Source organism: Homo sapiens, chromosome 6, assembly GCF_000001405.40.
Source record: "Homo sapiens chromosome 6, GRCh38.p14 Primary Assembly".
Classification (NCBI taxonomy): domain Eukaryota; kingdom Metazoa; phylum Chordata; class Mammalia; order Primates; family Hominidae; genus Homo; species Homo sapiens.
In genome coordinates, this window is record NC_000006.12 from 150,277,559 (window position 1) to 150,292,460 (window position 14,902).

General features: G+C 43.7%; 1 long non-coding RNA gene across 2 annotated transcripts in view; it reads left to right on the forward strand.

The window, feature by feature from the left end:
- LOC105378054 (uncharacterized) overlaps positions 1–14,902 on the forward strand; it is a 36,714-nt gene that overhangs the window by 8,147 nt on the left and 13,665 nt on the right. The window contains exon 1 of one of the 2 annotated variants that reach the window (XR_943108.3): positions 13,369–13,508. The exons of the other annotated variant lie outside the window; for it this stretch is intronic. This is a non-coding gene — a long non-coding RNA (uncharacterized LOC105378054). Of the gene's footprint in view, positions 1–13,368; positions 13,509–14,902 lie in introns of those variants that run through there. 2 annotated transcript variants of the gene reach the window in all.

The following is a 14,902-nucleotide window of genomic DNA, read 5'->3' on the forward strand; positions in this document are numbered from 1 at the left end:
GAGATCGTGCCACTGTACTCCAGCCTGTGTGACAGAGCAAGGCTCCATGTCAAAAAAAAAAAAAAAAATCATCCTTTAATACAGCCCACTGTCTGTTTGTGTAGGGTCCTGAAGCTAAGAATCATTTTTCCTTTTTTAAATGATTATGGGGGGAGAGCAAAAGAAGGATGATATTTTGTGACATGTGAAAATGATATGAAATTCAAATTTCAATGTCCATAAATATTTAGTGGAACACAGATCACACCCATTTGTTTTAAATGTTGTTCACAGCTGCTTTCCACGGTAACTGCAGAGTAGTTGGGAAAGAGCCCACGTGACACTCTCAGCGCTGTTCTCTGCTGCCTGCACACAATAAATCGCAGCGATGCTGCCGTAAGTTGACAGCCTCTGGAGTGCTATCCCCCAGGCTGTACTAGAACATTTCATTTTATTTTGTATTACCAGCTTTTCCAAAGACTTTAAACTATAGAGAACAAAAGAAGAGGTGGTGAGTGAGTCTGAGGCATTCACTTCCAACTCCTGAGGAGATTTTGCTAAAGACTGTAGATCTCAGAATTCCTCATTTTTTTCCTTTTTCTTTTCTTTTCTTTTCTTTTTTTTTTTTTTGAGATGGAGTCTCGTTCTGTCACTCAGGCTGGAGTACAGTTGCACTGTCTTGGCTCACTGCAACCTCCGCCTCCTGGGTTCAAGTGATTCTCCTGCCTCAGCCTCCCGAGTAGCTGGGACTACAGGCACATGCCACCATGCTGGCTAATTTTTTTGTATTTTTAGTAGAGATGGGGTTTCACAGTGAGAATTCCTCAATTCACCTTGGTTCTTTGCTTTACTTTTTTAACCCGTTCTTACACTGAGGTGTATAGGGGTTAACAATTGAGATGGGATGGAATTAAGCTTAAGCTACAAAATTGCGTTGGGCTTACCTAATAGTTGTTTTCAAATATCTATCTGATGCCCAAGAATGTCTGCCCAGCTTTCTCTTGTTGTGAAAGTACCTACAGAATAGCCTTTTGCCTCTCGGCCCACAAAGCCTAAACTATTTACTATCTGGCCCTTTCCAGGAAAAGTCTGCCTATCACAGCTTTGAAAAATTCCCATCTCACTGTAGAAAAGTCCAGAGCCCTGGCATTCATTGGCTTTCACGCCTGAGCCCATCTCTTCTGCTATAGTCTGATTCCACGCGATTTCCTCACGTGTGCCCTGTGCAGCAGCAACAGCCGTGACCACAGGTTCCAGACGGCTGCTCCTCTCATCTCCTTACCCTCCCGGGGGCTGCTTCCAGGTCCCCAGTGTCCTCTCCCATACTGACTGCCCCCCGGGGGCAGGGGCACACCTTCCCCTGGCTTTATGTTTCTACAAGAGTAATAATAATAGCTGGCATCCACATCCTTACTGTACCCCATGGCCACTTTACACACAGCATCTCATTTTATCTTCTCCCAGCCTGTGGAAGTAGGTTTTATGACAATCTCCATCTTACAGTTCACAAAACTGAGACTCAGAGAGGTTAAGCAACCTGCCAAGGTCGTATAGATAGAAAGTGGCAAACCCAGGCTTGGGGTTCAGAGAGATGAGCTCCAGCACGCAGGCGCTGACTGCTTTGCCACAGGGCTGCTCTGGAAAAGCACCTGGCTTCTTGCAACCTTCCTCTGACCCTCCGTGGAGGCCGCCTTGGTGACCTGATAGGGAGTGGGGGTCCATAGCCCAGGGCTCATAGTTGGATGGGGCCAATTACATGCCTTTGAGTCCTGGGGTTTGGTTTCTTCTCCTCCCCTCTCCTTACTGTCCTGCACAGCAACCCTGGGTTGGGAAGTCTTCCCTGCTGTCCCCATGCAGCTGAACCACACTCTGTACTTGGGTGGGGCTGGGGTGTGTTGACATGCCCCCTCCATGTGTTTCTTTTTAACAGATTTTACTTTTTTTAGAAAAGTTTTAAGTTTATAGAAAAACTGAGAGGCTAGTACAGAGACGGCCCATTACCTCATACCTAGTTTTTCCTGTCCTTAACATCTCACATTAGTATGATACATTTATTTACAACTAATGAACCAATATAAATACATTCTTATTAATGGAAGTCCATAGTTTATTTAGATCTCCTTAGATTTTACCTAATCCCTTCTTTCTGTTTCAGGATCCCATCCAGGATACCACATGACATTTCATCATCATTATCATGTCTCTTTAGCCTCGTCTTGGCTGTGGTGGTTTCTTAGGCTTTCCTTGTGTTTGATGACCCAGAGGTTTTGCAGAAAGTCCCTCTGTTGGGATTAATCTGATGTTTTTCTCATGATGAGACTGGGGTTATGGGTTTTGGGGGAGGAAGACCCTGGAGGTTAAGTGCCCTTCTCATCATATCATGTCAAGGGTACTTGCTGTCAATGTGACTTTTTGGTGTTGATATTGAGCTTGATGACCTGGCTGAGGTGGTATTTGTCAGGGTCCTCCACTGTAAAGTTCCTCCTCTTTTGGCATGCCCTTTTGACCAAAAATCAAAAGTCATGTTCTCCAGTGGTCTTTCTTAGCAATAAAGCTGACATTTTGGCCTGTTTGTTCTTTGTGTCTTATTTCTCAATTGAGTCCATATTTGAGAAGGGAAGAAATAAATGGATGTTATGTATTGAAGCCCTAAGACCTCAATATTATCCCCCTGGCAAAATACTTCACATCTTTGTGGTTCACTCAAGCATCACTTCCTCTTTGAAGCCCTCCCTGATCTCCCCAGGCAGAGTCATTGTGTTCTCCCAGGTGCTCACACAACCCCCCACCTGCCTCTCTTGTGGGACTTTTCTCTTGGCTGCCATAATTCCTTCCTCCTGCTCTTCCTCCACTGGACGGTCAGCCCCTCAGGGACACCAGCGGTGTTCTAGTAATCTCTATGTCCCTGAAACCTGGCCCACAGTCTGGAATTTAGGAGATTCTTAGCAAATGTTTGCAGAATGAAAAACAAGTCTTTCCAAATCTCCCATCAGTGAGGGTTGCCTGACTCCTCCAGAATGGAGATTTACTGGGCCTCCTCTTGGTGATGAAGGCAGTCCCATCTAAGGACCATTCTATTCTCTTTTCAGCTCATTAAGAAGGAGGCAGGGCTGCTTAGCTGGTGCAGTTGGAATAACACTTGAGTCTAGGACCCACATTCAGTGAAGACCTATGGCCCCATCAATATTCATAGCTGTTATTGAATGAGCACCAGGAGGAAGGTAGTCTCTCCTGGGTACTGTGTTTCCTATTAAGTCATTAAAAAAAATCTCTAAAAAGAAGTGCAGTCTTAGAAACAGAGAGTAATCATAAAAATAGCTATCATTGTTGAGTATCATTGTTGAGCAATGCTATGGTTTGGATATTTGTTCCCTCCAAACCTCATGTTGAAATTTGATGCCCAGTGTTGGAGGTGGGGTCCAGTGGGAGGTGTTTGGGTCAAGGGGTGGATCCTTCATGAATAGATTAATTCACCCGCTCAGGGGTAAGTGAGTTCCCAAAAGAGTTGGTTGTTAAAAAGAGCCTGGAACTTACAATAAAATAAAATTCAAAAAAAGAGCCTGGCACCTCCTTGCTGCTTCTCTTGCTTCCTTTCTTGCCATGTGATCTCTGTACAGCCAGCTCCCCTTCACCTACCAGTGAGTGGAAGCAGCTTGAGGCCCTCACCAGATGCCCAATTTTGAACTTTCCAGCCATTAGAATCAAGAGCCGAATAAACCACTTTAATGTATAAATTACCCTGCTTGTTATACCTTTATAGCAACACTAAATGAACTCAGACAAGCAAATAGTATAAGCTCTGTGTTAGGTGTTTCATACATGTGATATTTCATTCTTACAATTCTGCAAGGTAGATTGTTGCCTTGACCCTATCTGAAGGTCATATGACTAGAGGCCCAGAGAGGTAAAGCAACTTGCCCAAGATGACAGAGCTATTAAAGGTCTCGACCTAAGTGGGTCTAATTCTAAATTCTTTCTAGGTCAGGTGTGGTGCTCACACCTGTAATCTCAGCACTTTGGGATGCTGAGGGAGGAGGATTGATTGAGCCCAAGAGCTCAAGACCAGCTTGGGCAATATGACAAGACCCTGTCTCTACAAAAATAAAAATAATTAAGCAGGTATGGTGGCATGTGCCTGTAGTCCCAGCTACCCTGGAGGTTGAGGCAGTTGGGCTGGGAGATTGAGGCTGCAGTGAGCAGTGGTTATGCCACTGCACTCAACCCTGGTTGAGAGAGTGAGAATCTGTCTAAAAAGAGAAAATATTATTCCATCTCTACTGATTCTACACTGATTCCCTTCATAACTTTCTGCTTTTTCTCATTTTCTGCTTCTGCAATTAGCTGAGTCTAAGGAACCAATGTGAGAAAGGACACAGTATTGGCCAAGAGAACACAACAGATGGACTGAGGTTCTGTTCTTTTTTTCATAAATAAGACTCCATTTTTATAATCTTGCCCTAAGGAATGCTGACTCTAAACTATTTCTGTACATTTTTTCTGTCTTCACTGATATGACTGACTAGTTTCTTGATTTTAAGATGAACATTTTCCCAAATTTTAGCATCCTCTAAAATTGGAATGTGTCTTACAATTTTATTCAACATGGATTGAAATCAAGTTTCTCTAGAGGGGATTTGCAGATAATTCTATTTAAAGTTGTCTCAAGTTGGTGGTCTTACCTACTTGGGTTCAAATTCTGCAGGGAATATATTTTTCCTACCTTCACCCAGTGCCAGTGAGACTTAGAAGTCTTCTGCTGTTCTTTTTTGTGGAGTGGATTTATTTCTCATTTACTCCTACAATGAAGGTATAGCCTTTGATAGCCCAGTTTATTTGTAGAGTCTTTCAATACTAGCCATTTTTTCTTTCTTATATGGTTGTTCATGCCTATAATTCCAGCTACTCAGGAGGCTGAGGCAGGAGGATTGCTGGAGCCCAGGAGTTCAAGGTACAGTAAACTATGATTGCATCCCTGCCCTCCAGCCTGGGTGACAGAGCAAGACTCTGTCTAAAAGAGAGACACAGAGAGACAGAGAGAGAGAGAGAGAGAGAGAGAGAGAAAGTTATCTTACAGCTCATGGTGTTCTAGGTCCTATATTAAAATATGATAATTTATTGAGGTCTGATGTTAGTTTCAAGCAGTGTGGTAGCCAGTCTCCAAGGTGGCCCCCAGTGATTTCTGCCTTCTGATATTCACACCCTTGTGTGTTTCCTTCCACACTGAATAAGACTGACCTGTGTGATGAATAGGATATTGTGGAAATGACCAGGTGACTTCCAATGCTGCATCATAAAAGACCTTGCTGCTTCTGTCTTGTTCTCTTTTGGATCACTCACTTTGGAAGAAGCCAGCTGCCATGTTGTGAGGACACTCAAGCAGTCTCATGGAGAGGTCCATGTAGCCAGGGTGATGACCTTCTGCCAACAGTCAGCACTGACTAGCCAGGCATGTGAGTGAATCAACCTGAAAGCAGATCCTTCAGCCCTAGTCAAGACTTCAGATGACTGCAGCCCTTAACCTCATGAGAGACTTTGAGCCAAACCACCCAGCTAAACTGCTCCCAGATTTGTGATTCACAGAAACTGCAAGATTACAAATGTTTATTATTTTAAGTCACCAAATGTTGGCATAATTTGTTATATAGCAACTAATACAAAAGCTAGAAAAATACTTTTTGAAACAAAAAATTTTACTTGTCTTTTCAAAATCAGTTTTTATCTCCTTGTTTTCAAATGATCTCTTCCACATTAATGAGGGAATTTCTGTTGTTTTCAGGACAACTGAGATCTAAAGCAACAATGAATATTTGCTCAGTTTAATATAAAGACTTGCAAGTGACTTTGTGCTGTATATGTCTTGCTTTGTGCTTGCTTCAAATTTTATAGTTTCATTGAAGAGATTTTTCTGATAATGATATAAGTAGGTAATACAAGTAGGAATAACTTATATATCACTATTTTTAAAAGAGTAGGAAAATGTTGATTGGGTTAGTTTAAATCCAGAAAGAATACTTGCAAAGATGTCCTTAATTACCCCAAAATGCCTTAGTTTGGGAGTACCAGCTAAAGAGCTATGTTAGGGTACTCATCAATATTGAAGAGACCATGATAACCCCTGGTTGCTATTCTAAGCTATGTATTTAGAGGTGCTGCAGGTCTTTCCTTTGGGCTTGCTGACACAATTACATTTTAATAAAGGTTTAATGTACACACCCTTTGGAAAGCTTACTGGTTTTTTTTTTGTTTTTGAGACGGAGTCTTGCTCTGTCGCCCAGGCTAGAGTGCAGTGGCGCGATCTCGGCTCATTGCAAGCTCCGTCTCCTGGGTTCACACCATTCTCCTGCCTCAGCCTCCCGAGTAGCTGGGACTACAGGTGCCCGCCACCACGCCCGGGTAATTTTTTGTATTTTTAGTTAGAGATGGGGTTTCACCGTGTTAGCCAGGATGGTCTCGATCTCCTGACCTCGTGATCTGCCCGCCTCAGCCTCCCAAAGTGCAGCTTATTGGTTTTTTATGTCATCTTTGGAAAAAGCCATCTTGTGCTGTCCTGTGCCCAAGACATCAGCTAAATCTATTAAGATTGATTAATGAAGATTAATATAATGTTTTCCTCTTTGGATTCAAATGGATTATTTTAACCTGCATTTTGATTATTATTGTTGATCGTTGTAAAAATTCAGTGGTTTCTAACCTTTCTTGCTCATCGAGATCTCCTGTGGAGGTGTTTATTTAATTTTTTAAAAATATAGGTAATGGACTTTTGCCTGATTTCCTAAATTAGCATCTTCAGGGGTGGGACTTGGGAACCTGTATTTTTAAAATTAACAAACTCTCCAGTTGATTCTTTGAGTCATTCCAGTGCATTGGCACTAACAGGGACATCAGAAGACACTGGATTCACTCCCTGCCATCCACCGCCACCTTCCATTCCAGCCTCCAAGTCTGCAGCAAGGGAAGATGCAGATGGATTTAAAGAACCATGGAGGATCTGCTAGAAGATACTTAGAGATAATTTGGTCCACGTGCCTTCATTCATCAGATAAGGGGACCCCTACTCCATGAGCGAAGTGAAGTGACTTACTTTCTTGAGGGATTTTTTATTCCATTAGTGTTATGACAATGTAGTTGAAAGTTACAAGTTAGCAAAAACAAATACAAAAACAATGGTTGCCACAGTCTCCATTCTAGGGGAGGGATGTCATTTATCATCTGGACTGCAGAACGGTTTAATTGAGAAAAGGGAGGCCTCCTCACTTTGCAAGTGATTGTACAGTAGTTTTCTTGAGGAGGCTTTTCTAAGTAATTAATATAATAAGTAGGAATGAGAATGCATCTCATTTTTAGACTGGGTAAATAATTGGTTAGATTATTTTTAATTCAAAAGGAAATATTTCACTTGCCTGGGTGCAAGAGGCTTAGAAAAAGAACTAATTCTGCAGTACAAGTAGCAGGATTTCTGGGTTAGGGGCTCATCATAGCCTGAGAGAGGAGGTCATTGGTAGGAGCTTTCAGGCAAGTGAAAGGTCACAGGATCCCTGTGAATATCAGTGGGCAGGAGATTTGAAAAGAAGGAATGCCCGTGAGCAAAATCTCTCAGGGCAGGGCGGGGGGTGGTGGTGGCTGGGGAAATCCAGGACCGTGGTATCAGTGCTGCGACATTGTGATTTATAATAAGAAATGTATATGCGGTCCCTGTTTCCCGGCATAAGGCTCCTAATACCCTTGGAATCTCCAAAGTAGTGTTTTTCTTTGTTTTTTTGTTTGTTTGTTTCTTTGTTTTTTGTATAATGATGACATAATTGGTGGGGTGAGGGCTCCGGATAGCCTCAGCATGGGGCTGGTTGCTGGAGGAGCCAACCTTGTAATTAGAGGGTTGGGACTTTAGTCCCATCCACCCCCTACCCTACCTCTAGATAAGGGAGAGGGGTGGAAGGTTGAGTTGATCACCAAAAGCCAATGATTCAATCAATCAAGCCTATATAATGAAACATCAGAAAAACTCACAGGACAGGATTCAGAGAACTTCAGGCTGCTGAACACATGGAGGGTGGCATGTCCTGAGAGGGCATGAAAGCTCCACACCCCTTCCCCCATACCCTGTCCTATGCATTTCTTCCATATGGCTGCTCTTGAATGACATCCTTTTATAATAAATAAGTAGTAGTGAGTAAAGCACTTTCCTGATTTCTGTGAGCTGCTCTAGCAAATAATCCAACACAAGGCAGGGCTCGTGAGAACTCACAATTTATAGCCAGTTGGTTAGAAGTACTGGTGGCCTGGATTTTTATTTGGCATCCAAAGTGGGGTGGGGGTGGTCTTGTGGAACTGAGCCCTTAACCTGTGGGATCTCACTCCGACTCCAGGTCAACAGTGTCAGAACTGAATTGAATTATAGGACACCCAGTTACTGTTGAAGAATTGTTCAGTGTGGGGAAAAACACACACATCCATGTTGAGTGTTGAGAATGTAGTAGGAGAAAACAGACAGTTTGGTTTTTCCTATCATACACCTGCTCTCTTTGATGCCTGAATTGTGCTATAATTCTCCCGCCATTCTCCCAAGTTTTACTAAAATGCCTTTCGGATACACTAATCTTGTGTTGGTGCTGCTTTGGGAGAGAAAGAAGAGGAATAGCATAGGGTGAAGTGATAAGGCATGAGGATGTAGAATTCAGTGGAAAAGGAAGATGAGAGAGAGAGAAGAGAGAGGGGAGAGAGAGCATGCACCAGGAGGAACCTAATCCCTTGGAAACTCCCAGCAGAAATGGGACAATGGGCTTCATAAAGAATGTGGAATGGGCTCAAGTTATTTTTCTCAAATAACATCCAAGGGAAGGGTAATCCCCAGAAGAAAGACTTGGGAATTGACATCCCAATAGCAGACAATTGGATTACATCACAAGTTTTCTGCAAAATGAATGAAAACATTCATGTCATACCACACACCCTTCTGCCACATGAAAACCCCAGGTCCTGATGGACATTCCCCCTAGAGGCTGAGACTGCCTTCCCTCATGCACATCCAGCTGGTCTTTGGGCACTGTTTCAGTGCTCCCCAAAGAATAAAGCCACAAGTACTCCATCAAAAGGAAGACAGCTTTACAATAGCTAGGGTCAAATGCTTAATTTAAACCCCAGGAAAGAGCAAGCGTTGTCAAGACAGAAGCGAGGGATCCCCCAGCTCTTCCCAGCTTTTGTATTCTGTGATTCTTAGGAAGAGAGGGGTCAAACCCTGGTTTTGTACAGTAATGAATAAAATGGCCTGGCTGGGTGTCAGCTGGCCTGCTAAAGTTGGCAGCTGACAGGGGAGAAACAGAGAACTTCGGAGGAACTGGTTCAATCTGCATGTATGATGTGTTCACGTAGACTGCCTGCGTATAGATTATATAACATCCATGACATACAGAGAAAGGCTTTGGGTTCCTGAGAAAGAAAGAAGCTCAGAAATAGACCATTTCTAGGGTGACACAAATCAGGATACAGATTCTAGTCTCACATATGGGGTGATCTCAGCTGCCAGAGGACACTTAGCAGCTAGGGAAGCACAAACAAAGGAAGTCATTCCCATAGTCAGGGCCCCTACTGGAAGCTCAGAGAGTCAGGGGTTGCCTGGCAACAGCAGAGTCTTCCTGTCTTTTCATTCACCCCTGTCAAGAGCATAAGATATCTCTTTCTTTTTTCTTCTGGACCTTCATTTTTCACCTAATTTCACCCGGAATTTGTTAGGAACCAGTGAGATATGTTTGAAGTCTCATAGGAATGCTGGTTGGAGACAGATCATTCTTCACAGGAACCTGAGCCCTGCAGAGATAAATGCCATGCCTCTGAGGCGTCCAGTTGCACCTACAGTTTTGCCGAATCTTACTGTGGGCAAAATGTGATGAAGGCTCACAGCTAGGGGGAGGGAGTTGACATGGTCCTGAATGCCTGAAGAAATGGCAGATAACCTATTTATGAATTTGTATGATTATTCCTACTGCAGGCCATCCTGATGTTTTGGAGAAGCAAGCTTTGTCTTGCAGTCCGAGATTCACCCCTGACTATCTGTAGTCACTTTGCCTCTTGAGGCCTTGCACTCTCAATCTCTATAAGAAATCAACTTCTCCCTGCCCCCAGCGTGGTGCTCTTAGGAGATTTGGTGAGAAGGTGAAAGAAAACTACTAGATTATAAAGGCTCTTGAGGATGGGATCATTGCTTTTTCATTCCTATGTACCTTACAGGCATCTAGCAATGAGTTTTTAAAAATATATTATGTATTCATTATTTTTGCCTATAAGGTACATATATTGTCCATTTTGTTGACAAATAAGAAGCACTTGTATTTCTTCTGGCTGCATGGTACCTGGCCTTTCCATTCCATTGCACCATTGTGTTTGGTTATTAAAGGAAAGGGTTACCCCAGAAGAAAGGCTTGAAAAGTGACATCTTGCTAGCAAAACCTGGATTACATTATAAAAGATTTTCTATGAAATGGAAGTATTGAGATCGTAGCATACATGCAGCTGTGTATACCAATGTGTCCTAATATGTGCTCACCCAGTGCATTCTTGCCATGCAGAACACAGAAGGTGCCAAATGGGATTCAATATTCCTGGCAGCTCTGAGTATTATGGAAAAGGGAGTTCACTGTGTATCAGGTCAGATCAGGTCTGGACTATTTTATGGAGAGGAGATGCTCTTCTTTTCCTTGAAGATTTGAGCTTTTGGGTTGGGGAGAAGGGCAGAATTTTACTGGGTGGAGGAAGCTTTGATGCTACCCACTGGATATTTCCTGCTAAGAAGAAAACCGATAAAGGGAACAAGGCCCCATAAGAAGCACCCAACTTGGAGCTGAGTAAGTCTGTAAAATTGCATGGAAGACTCGATGCTGTTGGTGGGGAACTCTTGCAACAAGCCTTCTACTTTGTGTTCCTAGTAGTGTGAGCCAGCAACTTTTAAAATTTTGTCTTCTTTTCCCTGGTTTTAAGTTATATTGCTTTCTCTTGCCAGATCTGAGGCATTTTTTAAAAGGGAGCATTTATCCTTTAACAGCACATGCTGTCATATTTTGTCCCTGTTACAGTCCTTTGAGGGAGGGAGCAGCCTCTGCTTTGTCACACGGTTGGTAGGGCTGGGAGAGAGCCAGAGCCCAGGATGTCTAAGTGACTTCCCAAAGCCACAGAGCTAGGAAATGGTGGAGCTGGGACTTGACTCTGTTGGTGGCCACACTCGCAAACCCATGCTCTGTGCCTTTCAATTTATTCTTGCTAGGCTGAACTGACAGTAGCAGGTCGAGAAAAGATGGCGCCCTCCTACAAATGAGGTGAATTTTCAAATAAGGTCAGATGGGTCAGGCTCTAAGATCAGACCTATTTTTTGCTTTAGACAGGGTCTCGCTCTGTCACCCAGGCTGGAGCACAGTGGAACCATCACGGCTCACTGCAGCCTTGCACTCCTGCGATCAAGTGATCCTTCCAGCTTAGCATCCTGAGTAGCTGAGACTATAGGCATGCACCGCCACAACCAGCTAATTTTTTTACTTTTTATTTTTTTGTAGAGACAAGGTCTCACTATGTAGCCCAGGCTGGTCTGGAACTCCTGAGCTCAAGGGATTGTTCCACCTTGGTCTCCCAAAGTGCTGGGATTACAGGCATGAGCCACCACACCCAGCCAGATCGGATCTATTAATCCACAAATGATTGGTGAGTCCAATCATCATCATCCTCTACTCCAACTTGGATATAGCTTTGTGATGAAGCTAGAATATCTGCCTCTGTCACATCAAGAAGAGGCATCTCAAAATACAGACAGTGAGAGTTCAAAGTCTTGGAACTGGAAAGATCAAGGCAGAAGCCTCTGGGTACCAGCAGAAACCACCGAGAAGCAGGACTGGAGAGCTGAGGGTGAGGGAAGAGGGGAGGGTGGGGTACAGAGATTCTAGGACCTGAAGAAGTGTTCTCCGTGGTGTGGTAGAGTGGGGTTCATTGTGTTGTGATCAGGATGTTGATCAGAGTTCCCTCAAAAATTATCAAGTAGTGATTGCCAGGTTAACTTCACCACTACACTACTAGTTAGAGTTGTTAAAGAGCAAGATTGCAGAGCTGATTTCTTTTCCTGTGTCACGTGAGGTGGTGCCTCCACCCCTAAGTAGAGCAGCTAGCACAGCAGTGTGGTTCTTCATGAAGGTGAAGGCTGGGAGTGAATGTTGGGTAGTTCCTGAGGCCATGGGGAGGAGTCGCTCCCAGGGAGGGCAAGAGACAGGGCGGACCAAAGGAATGTGGCTAGAAAGACATCCATCATATCAAATGGAGACTTCAGAGATGTCCAGAGACCATGATCAGCCGGTTTTGTTGGTTCCGTTTAACATGCAGAGGAAAAGGTGGAAAGCACCCTCATTTGGACACGCTGCCATACGCATCTTTAGAAAGGTTTCTTTGCAGACATCAATCTGATAAGGTAGCCCTGGGCTGGCTCCTGTCATGATGGTGCCTTTTCCCTCTGTCCTGTGACACCATGCTTAAGAGGGTGGTGTTGGAGTTATTTGGAAAAGTATTGTTGTTTTTGTGTAATCGTTTGATATTTTTATTAGATGAGGCCCTGGACCTGTGATTTTAAAAGGCTACTTGGTTGGAATTTTGTTTTGTTTTGCTTTGCTTTGCTTTTATAAAGAAAGGCCAGGTAACTGCCTCTCCTATTTTATTTCCTTTGGAAACTGGTTCTTGTGGAGGTGGCGCCTGGCACCAGAATGAAACTGAATTTCCTCCACAGGTGATGCAAAATCAGGTTCTGTTTGGGGTCATCATCTCGGTTGTCATAAAACTGCACATTTTAAAGTTTCTGGGTGTAAGATTGCTGAGAGCCCTGTGCCTGCACTGGGGGATGTGACCTTTGTTGTGGCTCTGGGGGTGAAGTTGGGGTATGCACACCCAGGTTTACTCAGCAACCACTGTTGGCTGTGTCAGCCACGTTCCTGTTCCCAGAGCTCAGTTGTTCATGTCTACACCCACTGATCTCCTGGCAAAGGCATGTTCTCTTTCAGGGAGCCATCCAGTCATGCAGCTGAGGAGGTGCCTCTGTGAGCTCCCCCGATCTGTCTGACTCACGAGCAGGATTTCCAGCATTCTGGGCCGTTCAGCTGAGCGATAATTTTGTCTCAGGCATTTGCAGAAATGGCTGCTTATATGTGCAGGCACGCGTGCTGCTGCCCCTGAATTCTCCATAAAGTCAGATGGTCCACTCAGCTGGCTCCGGAGACCCTTTTACACAGTCACGGAGTAGAAAATCAAGTAAAACATTCATCCCGTTTTAAACACTCCAGTCCATTGAAACTAGTGGTATTGTGATTGCAGGTGTTTTTGTGTGTTTGTCCGGGGGGACTTTGTAATCCTGGTGCCGGGTTGAACGAAAACCTCAGCCTCTGTTAGTATTGTCTGAAACACACTGCTTGAGGAGTGTGTGTTAAGGACACTCTAAAAAAGAGACTTGTGGGAGGTTTCAGGCATTTGGAAGTTTTAGATACGACTTCAAGTAAGATTCACTTTCGGGTGAGGTAAGGAGCTTCTTGATTTTCCTTCTGTTGGTTTTTAATCCAGAGGTGGACAGAGATAGCATTTGCAACATAGAGCCAAGAACCCAGCCACAGCTCCTTGCTTGGCACTGCTCAACATTCCAGCAAGAATCCACGCTGCTTGGACCAATGGCTTTAGAAGTTGAATTATTTAGGCTGGGTGCAGTGGCTCACACCTGCAATCCCAGCACTTTGGGAGGCCGAGGCAGGTGGATCACCTGAGCTCAGGAGTTCGAGACCAGCCTGGCCAACATGGTGAAACCCCGTCTCTACTAAAATTATAAAAATTATCCAGGCATGGTGGTGCACACCTGTAGTTCCAGCTACCTGGGAGGCTGAGGCAGAATTGCTTGAACCCAGGAGGTGGAGGTTGCAGTGAGTCAACATCATGCCACTGCACTGCAGCCTGGGTGATAGAGTGAGACTCTGTCTCAAATTAAAAAAAAAAAAAAGAAATTGAATTATTTAAACAAATTTTCATTTAATTCAGTGCAGCTACTTCTGTAGTGTCCTGAGAGAAAAGACACAGCTGAGGTTGATGGACCTGGCTTCTGATTTGTATTACTGTTTCCTACCTGTGAGCCCACGAGCAATTTACTTTAATTCAGAGTCTGCAAACTAGAGGCCTGCTGCTGAATTTGCTTTGCATACTTTTTTTTGGCTTGGGCAATGCAGGGTTTATAAAAATTTAATCAGTAACTAACATCTAAATATCAGAGTTTTCAGCATGAATCCAGATTTCTGGCTTCTTTAGAAAAATGGAAAGATCTGGCAATACTGGGCCTGAATTCCCGACTAGAAACAATTGCGTTGATCATTCTTTATCGAGGGCAGTACCCTTTATTTTAATCATGATGCGGTCTCTGCTGGCATTTAAGTTTGCAACCTTGTACTTTGTTGAGCCTCAGTTTCTTAATCCACAAGATAAGCATACCGTACTTGTTTGTTCTTATGCTGCTAATAAAGACATACTTAAGACTGGGTAATTTATAAAGGAAAGTAGTTTAATGAACTCACAGTTCCACGTGGCTGGGGAGGCCTCACAATCATGGTGGAAGGCAAAGGAGGAGCAAAGTCACGTCTTACATGGCAGCAGGCAACAGAGCTTTTGCAGGTAGACTTCCATTTATAAAACCATCAGTTATCGTGAGACTTTTTCACTAACACAAGAACAGTATGGGGGAACCACAGCCATGATTCAATTATCTCCACCTGGTCCCACACTTGACATATGGGGATTATTACAATTCAAGGTGAGATTTGGGTGGGGACACAGCCAAACCACATCACATACTATCCTCAATTCATAGGTTCTTCTATTTTTTTTATTTTTAGTTTTTAGAGATGAGGTATCGCTCTGTTGCCCAAGCTAGAGT